Raw genomic sequence first — 8958 nt, 5'->3', positions numbered from 1 at the left:
GCTTTTTCCGCGGGCGCTTGATAACGCGGGTGAGGCGTGGAGGGCGGCGCCATGGCCCACCTGGAGCTGCTGCTTGTGGAAAATTTCAAGTCGTGGCGGGGCCGCCAGGTCATTGGCCCCTTCCGGAGGTTCACCTGCATCATCGGCCCCAACGGCTCTGGTAACTGAGCAGCTCAGGGCGCCACCGGAGCGCCTCCGCCGTCCCAGGCGTCCAGGCCACACGTGGCCTGTGGGGTGTGGGCGTCTGCCGCGGGCGCCTGGCCGGCCTTCCCCTTCCAGTCCCGGAGCCTGACCGCGACCGGATCCCGGCCTGGCCCTGGCCCAGCCCCTGCCCATCACCCCACCTCAGCCCCGGTCCTCGCCGTCCACCTCAGGGGTCCCGACCCTTGTCCCTCCGCCCCACCTCGGAGGTCCTGACCCTTCCACTCGGCCCCGCCTCGGGCCCCGCTCTCGCCCTCCACCTCCTGGCTCCCGACCCTCCTCCGACACCCTGAGGGACCCCACCCCACCTCAGCTCCGGCCCTCGCCCTTCATCTCAGGGGCTCCCAACCCTCGCCCCCCACCCTGGGGGTCCTGACGCTTCCTCTCCGCCCCGGTCCCGCCCTGGGCCCTGTTCTCTGCCCTCACTCCTGCTTCGGGGACTGCTCTTGCCCTTGGCCCTGGTCACTCGCGTCCCTTTTCCCTTCTCATCCGAAGTTGAAGTGAGAGGGAGCTGTCGAGGAGGTAATGGGTTCCAAGCAGCCAGAACCACCATTTGGATCCAAGGGAGCTTTGACCCAGGAATGTAGTGATGATGACCCAGTTTACTGAGCTTTTCCTAAGTTCCTGGCGACACCGTCTTTGGTTAGCCATGGCGCATGGCTGCTCTCCCCATTTTATAGTTGGGGAAACTGAGGTCTGGAGAGGCCAGAGGACCTGCGGAGGTCTCTACTAATAATACCAAAATTAGCTGGGTGTGGTGGCACACGCCTGTAATCCCAACTACTCTGGAGGCTGAGGCGGGAGAATCGCTTGAACCTGGGAGGTGGAAGTTGCAGTGAGCCAAGGACACGCCATTGCACTCCAGCCTGGCAACACAGTGCGACTCTCGTCTCAAAAAAAAAAAAAAAAAAAAAAAAAAGGCTGGGCGCGGTGGCTCACACCTGTAATTCCAGCACTTTAGGAGGCCGAGGCGGGTGGATCATGAGATCAGGAGTTCGAGACCAGCCTGACCAACATGGTGAAGCCCTGTCTCTACTAAAAATACAAAAATTAATCGGGTGTGGTGACATGCACCTGTAATCCCGGCTACTGAGGAGGCTGAGGCAGGAGAATCGCTTGAACCCGGGAGGCAGAGGTTGCAGTGAGCCAAGATAGCACCACCGCACTCCAGCCTGGGTAACAAGAGCGAGACTTCGACTCTAAAATAAAATAAAATAAGATAAATATAAAATAAAATTGGCCGGGCGCCGTGGCTCATGCCTATAATCCCAGCACTTTGGGAGGCCGAGGCGGGCGGATCACCTTAGGTCAGGAGTTAGAAACCAGCCTGGCCAACATAGTGAAACCCCTGTCTGTACTAAAAATACAAAAATTAGCTGGGGGTGGTGTCACGTGCCTGTAATACCAGCTACTTGGGAGACTGAGGCAGGAGAATCACTTGAACCCGGGAGGCGGAGGTTGCAGTGAGCCAAGACTGTGCCACTGCATTCCAGCCTGGGCGACAGAGCAAGACTCTGTCTCAACAAAAAAATAAGGCCTGACATGGTGGCCCACACCTGTAATTCCATCACTTTGGGAGGCTGAGGCAGGCAGATCACTGGAGGTAGGGGTTCAAGACCAGCCTGGCCAACATGATGAAACCCCATCTGTACTAAAAATACAAAAAAGCCTGGCGTGGTGGCGCACGCCTGTAGTCCCAGCTACTCAGGGGACTGAGGCAGGAGAATCGCTTGAACCTGGGAGGCAGAGGCTGCAGTGAGCTGACATCACGCCACTGCACTCCAGCCTGGGCAACAACAGAACAAGACTGCATCTCAAAAATAAATAAGTAAAAATAAATAAATAAATAAAATGCACCGTTCAGTGGTTTTTAGTATATTCAAAAGTTGTGCAACCATCATCACCATCTACTTCCAAAACATTTTCATTGCCCCCAAAGAAACCTTGTACTCATTAGCAATCACTCCCTGTTATTTCCTCTCCACCTAGCTCCTGGTATCTACTAATTCACTTTCTGTCTCTATGGATTTACCTATTTGGGACATTTCGTATAAATAGAATCAGACAATATATGGCCTTTTGTGTCTGACTTCTTTCACTTAGCATAATGTTTTTCAGATTCATCTATGTTGCTCCTTGTATTAGTACTTATTTCCTTCTTATTTTCAAATAATATTTCACTGTATAGATATACTACATTTTGTTTATCCATCAGTTGATAGTTTGGGTTGTTGCCACTTTGTGGTATGTTATGCTGCCTTGACTCTCTTGACAGACTATAACCTTTATTAGGCAGGGACAATATTAATGAAATTTAATGGAATAAATGGATTTGGATGAGAAGTATTTATTTTAGGCAGATTTAAATAAGGATTGACTTATTGATTTTAAAAGTTTATGTTTAGTTTTGTTACTTAATACTTAAATTACTTAATAATTTAATTCAGTGAATGTTTATCTTGTCCATATGCACTGTCTTACAATAGCCCTCAATGTGCAGATTATCCATTAACCCAAAAAAGCCGTTTCATACCTGTTAGTTGACTGAGACTCAGCTAAATAAATTTGCAGCAATTTATTTCTAGTTCTTTTTAGAAAGACCCTAAACCTCTAAAACTAAGCCATATTTCCGGTGGCTGATAGTATTCCTTTGCTTTGTTTATGTTACTTTCCTAGTTTTGGCATTGAAAATTAATTAATTATTTCTTTTGTCTTGAGATGGAGTCTTGCTCTCTTGCCCAGGCTGGAGTACAGTGGTGTAATATCAGCTCACTGCAACCTCTGCCTTCTGGATCCAAGTGATTCTTCTGCCTCAGCCTCCCGAGTAGCTGGGATTACAGGCGCACGCCACCACAGCTGGCTAATTTTTTGTATTTTAGTAGAGACGGGGTTTCACCATGTTGGTCAGGCTGGTCTCGAACCCCTGACCTCGGGTGATCTTCCTGCCTCGGCCTCCCAAAGTGCTGGGATTACAGGTGTGAGCTGCTGCGCCCAGCCTGAAAATTTAAACTGCTTTGTGGATATAGGGGAAGGGATGTGAAAAGGAGAAATAATAGTGATGGTGACAGCTGCATTGACATTGCACCTTGGAAATTGTCTTAGAGAAAATTATGGGCCAATGATTGGGTAACAGATTTAACATTGGGGTTAGGAATGCCCACAACTACCCTTAGGTTCAGTAATTTGTTGGGAAAACTCACAGGATTCTACATATAGTTTGACTCAATACTATTATTTATTACAGTGAAAAAATACAAAGCGAACTCAGCAAAGGGAAAGGATATATGAGGCAAAGTCTTAGGAAACCAGTTGCAAGATTCCAAGTCCTTACCCATTGGTGTCACTCAGTGCTTCATTCCTCCAGCAGCTAGTCCACACATGTGAAATGTTGCCCACCAGGGAACCTCACTAAAGACTCAATGTGCAGCGTTTTTATCGGGAGATTGTCACATAGGCACCGTTTGCCTATCATGTACCCAAGTTCCAGAATCTTCTTAGGCCAGACCTTCCTCAAAAGAAATTATAAAATAATATTCCAGAATCCTAGAAAGAAAGCATATGTTCAGATTAAATCATATTGTTTGTACAGATAGTTTAGGCACTGTGAGCCATTCTTAATAGGGAATGTTAGAAACCCTCCCAACATCCAAATCCAAATCCCTGTAAGCCAGCCAACCTTGTAAGTAGGACTTTCAAAAGATAACAGTATCAAGCCTGCTATATAAATTTTCTGTAGCACCATCTCATACCAATCAAACAATTTTAATCTAGCCCTCGATCCTGGATTTAGTTAGCTTCTCTTGTTTTTATTTATTTATTTATTTATTTATTTATTTATTTATTTATTTATTTAGAGTTGGAGTCTCTCCTCGTTGCCCAGGCTGGAGTGCAGTGGTGCAATCTCGGCTCACTGCAACCACCGCCTCCTAGGTTCAAGCAATTCTCTTGCCTCAGCTTCCTGAGTAGCTGGGACTACAGGTGCGTGCCACCAAGCTCGGCTATTTTTTATATTTTTTGGTAGAGAGGGGGCTTCACCGTGTTGGCCAGGCTAGTCTCGAATTCTTGACCTCAGGTGATCTGCTCACCTTGGCCTGCCAAAGTGCTAGGATTATAGGCATGAGCCACCGCGTCCAGCCTTAGCCTCTCTTTTTTAGAGTATAAGAGGATTTGGTGCTGCACCAATGCTTTAGGTAGTTTCCATATTTATAAAATGAGGATAATTGAAACTCAGTGAAGTTAAATGATTTGCCATGGTGTGATACCTAACAATGGAAGAGAGCTGGGATTTAGATAGGTGTATTTCAGTCCTTAAATTTAGACCTCTTAATAGTCTACAATAGATGCATAGAAGAAATGAGTTATCTACATCAAATATTTCAGTCATGCATTTTGAACATTGATTAAAAAGGACATGTCTTTTGGCTATATTTCACTTCGATTGGTGGCCTGATTTCTTCAGCTCTGGGTAGGGCTTTTTATCATTAAGAATGAATAATGTTTTATCTCTTTTCTTCCCCAGGAAAATCTAATGTAATGGATGCACTTAGTTTTGTAATGGGAGAGAAAATAGCTAATTTAAGAGTGAAAAATATTCAAGAACTCATTCATGGAGCACATATTGGAAAACCTATTTCTTCTTCTGCAAGTGTAAAAATTATATATGTGGAGGAAAGTGGCGAAGAGAAAACATTTGCAAGGATTATCCGAGGTATTTTTTTATAATTTTTTTTCATTTTATTTTTCAAGAGTCAAGTAAGATTGCCCATTTTTTCTTTCTTTGGAGGGTATGGTTTATTATTCTACTGGTGTAATGAACTAGAGTTCTTTTTTCTCTTGCATAGCATATCTCAGAAGCAAGTAACAGAACCTGTTTGATTCGCCACATATTTCTCCAATTATGTCTGCTTTTCCTTAACTGACATAATTGTTCAAATCCCCCTACTGTCAAATAACATTTTAAAATCTGGATATTTAGTTAAGATGAAGGAGGGAGGGTCGGGTATGGTGGCTCACGCCTGTAATCCCAGCACTTTGGGAGGCCGAGGCGGGCGGATCACGAGGTCAGGTGATTGAGACCATCCTGGCTAACACGATGAAACCCCGTCTCTACTAAAAATACAAAAAATTAGCTGGGCGAGGTGGCAGGCACCTGTAGTCCCAGCTACTCGGGAGGCTGAGGCAGGAGAATGGCATGAACCCGGGAGGCAGAGCTTGCAGTGAGCCGAGATCACGCCACTGCCCTCCAGCCTAGGCGACAGATCAAGACTCCGTCTCAAAAAAATAATAATAAGATGAAGGAAGGAGTACCTTGAAGACAGAGAAATCATAAAATTTATTCTTGAGGTTCTTTATGTTTATCAGTTTTTCTTAGTGATGAACAAATTGTATGCATATTTTTGGCTTTATTATAGACAGTTTTTTCTACCACCAAAAAGCAACTTGAGTGAAATGTTTGAATTTGTGTGTGTGTGTATATATACATTTACGGGAAAAGAGCGGGGATTTGGGAAAGAGGAAGAAATTTTTTTTAAAGGTGTGGATAGAAAAGAGACCAGTGGTTGCATTCTTTTGAGCCTTTGATCAATTGTTCACATGTGACAGGGGTAGAGGCATAGTCACTTCTGCATTAGGCTAGCTCAGTGAATCTGCATTTTTATATAAGATAATATAGGCTGGGCATGGGGCTCATGCCTGTAATCCCAGCACTTTGGGAGGCCACAGCAGGACGATTGCTTGAACTCGGGAGTTTGAGACCAGCCTGGGAAACGTGGTGAGACCTTGTCTCTACAATTAGCTGTGTGTGGTAGCGTGAGTCTATAGTCCCAGTACTTAGGAGGCTGAGGTGGGAAGATGACTTGAGTCCGGGAGGTCTAGGATACAGTGAGCCAAGATTGCGCCACTGCACTCCAACCTGGTCAACAGAGCAAGACCCTGTCTCAGAAAAAAAAAAAGATAAAGATAGTGCAGAGGAGACAATCAGATATACATTTATCTCAGGTGAGCAGAGGGATGACTGAGTTCTGTCCTTTGTCCTGTACATGTGAAGATAAGCTATCAATTTATATTGTCAGGTTAAAATTCAACAGAACTGTTTTAGGGTAAAGATCTTGGGGCCCACAAGGAATTTCCCTGTGGGTAAATTGTGAGGGAGGCATGCAGTTTTTGTTGCTGTTGTTGTTTTTCAATCTTTACAGCTACCTTATTTAGTAACAAAATAGGAGGCAAGTTTGCATGACCTAGTTCCCAGGTTGACTTTTCCCTTTGGCTTAGTGAGTTAGGGGTTCTGAGATTTATTTTCCTTTTACATCCTGACTAGGATATATGCTCTTCAGATAAGAGACTTTCATGTGTTTTGTTCGCCACTGTAAAAGAGACCTTGACATGTAATAGACACTCAATATTTGTTGACTCATTAAATGCATTTATTCCCATGTATATTATTATATAACTGGCCATTTCAATAAGAAAAATAATTTTATTAAACTTTCGGTGGATTTTGAGGTATATCTGGTATTTATATATTTTTTAACAGGGTTTATTTTTTTATTTTAGGGGGATGCTCAGAATTTCGCTTTAATGATAATCTTGTGAGTCGTTCTGTTTACATTGCAGAGTTGGAAAAGATAGGCATAATAGTCAAAGCACAAAATTGTTTGGTTTTTCAGGTAAGTAGCTATAGTAGTTTATTTGATTCAGAGTTTTGAAAATACATCACTATATTTTATATGTTGATGTGCATTACTGTTTTTAAAAGGGAACTGTAGAGTCAATTTCAGTGAAGAAACCCAAAGAAAGGACCCAGTTTTTTGAGGAAATCAGCACTTCAGGAGAGCTTATAGGAGAATATGAAGAAAAGAAAAGAAAGTTACAAAAAGCCGAAGAGGATGCACAGTTTAACTTTAATAAGAAAAAAAATATAGCGGCAGAGCGCAGACAAGCAAAATTAGAGAAGGAAGAGGTAAGATGTCATGAAGATGTAACCATTAGTTGTTGGATATAAAACTTTCTATGTTAGAATCACTAGGTATGGGCTTGGGCTTACCAAGAAGATTAATTTAATAGTATAAGACAATTAAAGCCCAATATTCATTAAGATAAACTTTTTGATGTATTTCCCACTATTTGGGTTTTTCTTTCCGAATAGGCAGGACAGCCTGAACTAGAAAAATGTCTGATTTTCCCAACTAAAAACAAGCTTGAGGGGTTTATGTCTTATGTGGCAAAGGCTCTCAGATGTTTGGATATTAAACCCCTTATGCTCTTAAAAATTATTGAGGACCCCAAAGAGTTTTTGTTCATATGGGTTATATCTATTAATATTTATTGTATGTGAAATTAACACTGGAAATTTAAAAAATATTTTAATGATCCCTGTAAAAATAGCAATAAACTCATTACATGTTAATATAAATAGCATTTTTATGAAAGATAACTGTATTTTCCACAACCAATTAGAAGAGAGACATTGTTTTACCACTTTTATAATTTCCTTAATGTCTAGCTTGATAAAAGACAGCTGAATTCTCATAAACATTTCTGTGTTAAATCTTACTTATGCTAAGGCCTAGCAATTTTGTCCACACTGTTAGTGCATGTGTCGACACATTGAAATAGACAAAGTCTTAGTATTATTATGAAAATAATTTTGTTTTCAGGGACTCCCTAAAAGGGTCTTGGGAACCTCCTAGGAGGCCATGACCACATTACATGCAAATGTACTTCTATACATTTCTTGGGCCCCTTCAAAATGCCTAATATAGTACCTTATCTTCAGTTGTAGTTAAAGTGATATTTTTGAAACTCAAATCAGATCCTAACTTTCCATGCATAAAACCTTCCAGTGCAGTGCTTCTCACTGCACTGAGAGTCTTGTCTCTTTTTTTTTTTCCCCAGGCTGGAGTGCAGTGGCATGATCTTGGCTCACTGCAAGCTCCGCCTCCTGGGTTCACGCCATTCTCCTGCCTCAGCCTCCCGAGTAGCTGGGACTACAGGTGCCCGCCACCGTTCCTGGCTAATTTTTTTTTTGTATTTTTAGTAGAGACGGGGTTTCACCGTGGTCTCATTCTCCTGACCTCGTGATCTGCCTGCCTCGGCCTCCCAAAGTGCTGGGATTACAGGCGTGAGCCACCGCGCCTGGCCAAGAATCTTGTCTCTTATAAGGCGTACTAGCCTTGTCTCTGTTTACCTCTTGAGCCTTAACTTCCTATGCTTTGCTACCACCTTGACCTTTATTATGTGTTGAACACACCAAACTCCTTTCTATTCTGGGGCTTTTGCTATTTCCTCTGCCTAGATAGCTGTGTGCCTGATTTTACATACCTGGTAGTCTCTCATTCATGTTTTTATTAAAAAGCCATTTTCTCAGGTAGGCATTTACTGTTCATTCCTCCAATCTAAATTAGCACCCCCTCCCTTGTACTAGCACATTACCCTATTTTGTTTCTTTTGTAGCGTTTATTGCTGTATAAAATTATCTTGTTTATTATTTGTTTGCTTGTCTGTCAACAAAGAGTCAAACTCCGTAAAATATTTGAAGAGATTTATTCTGTGCCAAATATGAGTGACCATGGCCTGTGACACAGCTCTAAGGAGATCCTGAGAACATGTGCCCAAGGTGGTTGGGCCACAGCTAGGTTTTATACATTTTAGGGGGACATAAGACATCAGTCAATACTTGTAAGATGTATGTTGCTTCATTCTGGAAAGGAGGGGGAGCCAGGGCTTCCAGGTTATAGGTGGATTCAAAGATTTTCTGAT

At 42.9% G+C, this 8958-nt stretch overlaps 1 protein-coding gene across 5 annotated transcripts in view; it reads left to right on the top strand.

Moving 5' to 3' along the window:
• The window catches only part of SMC1B (structural maintenance of chromosomes 1B), a 69537-nt gene continuing 60598 nt past the window's right edge, over nucleotides 20–8958 (top strand). For 4 of the 5 annotated variants that reach the window (NM_001291501.2, NM_148674.5, XM_011530145.3 and 1 more), the window contains exons 1-4: nucleotides 20–160; nucleotides 4721–4909; nucleotides 6754–6866; nucleotides 6956–7159. In NM_001291501.2, the coding sequence (NP_001278430.1) occupies nucleotides 52–160; nucleotides 4721–4909; nucleotides 6754–6866; nucleotides 6956–7159 (615 nt within the window). In that variant the 5' untranslated portion in view covers nucleotides 20–51. Of the gene's footprint in view, nucleotides 161–4153; nucleotides 4180–4720; nucleotides 4910–6753; nucleotides 6867–6955; nucleotides 7160–8958 lie in introns of those variants that run through there. The other variant, XM_011530144.3, reaches the window with a different exon arrangement.

Source organism: Homo sapiens, chromosome 22 (assembly GCF_000001405.40).
Source record: "Homo sapiens chromosome 22, GRCh38.p14 Primary Assembly".
NCBI classification, from domain to species: Eukaryota; Metazoa; Chordata; class Mammalia; order Primates; family Hominidae; genus Homo; species Homo sapiens.
The sequence above is the reverse complement of the archived record's forward strand: the minus strand, read 5'-3'. Positions and strand labels throughout refer to the sequence as shown.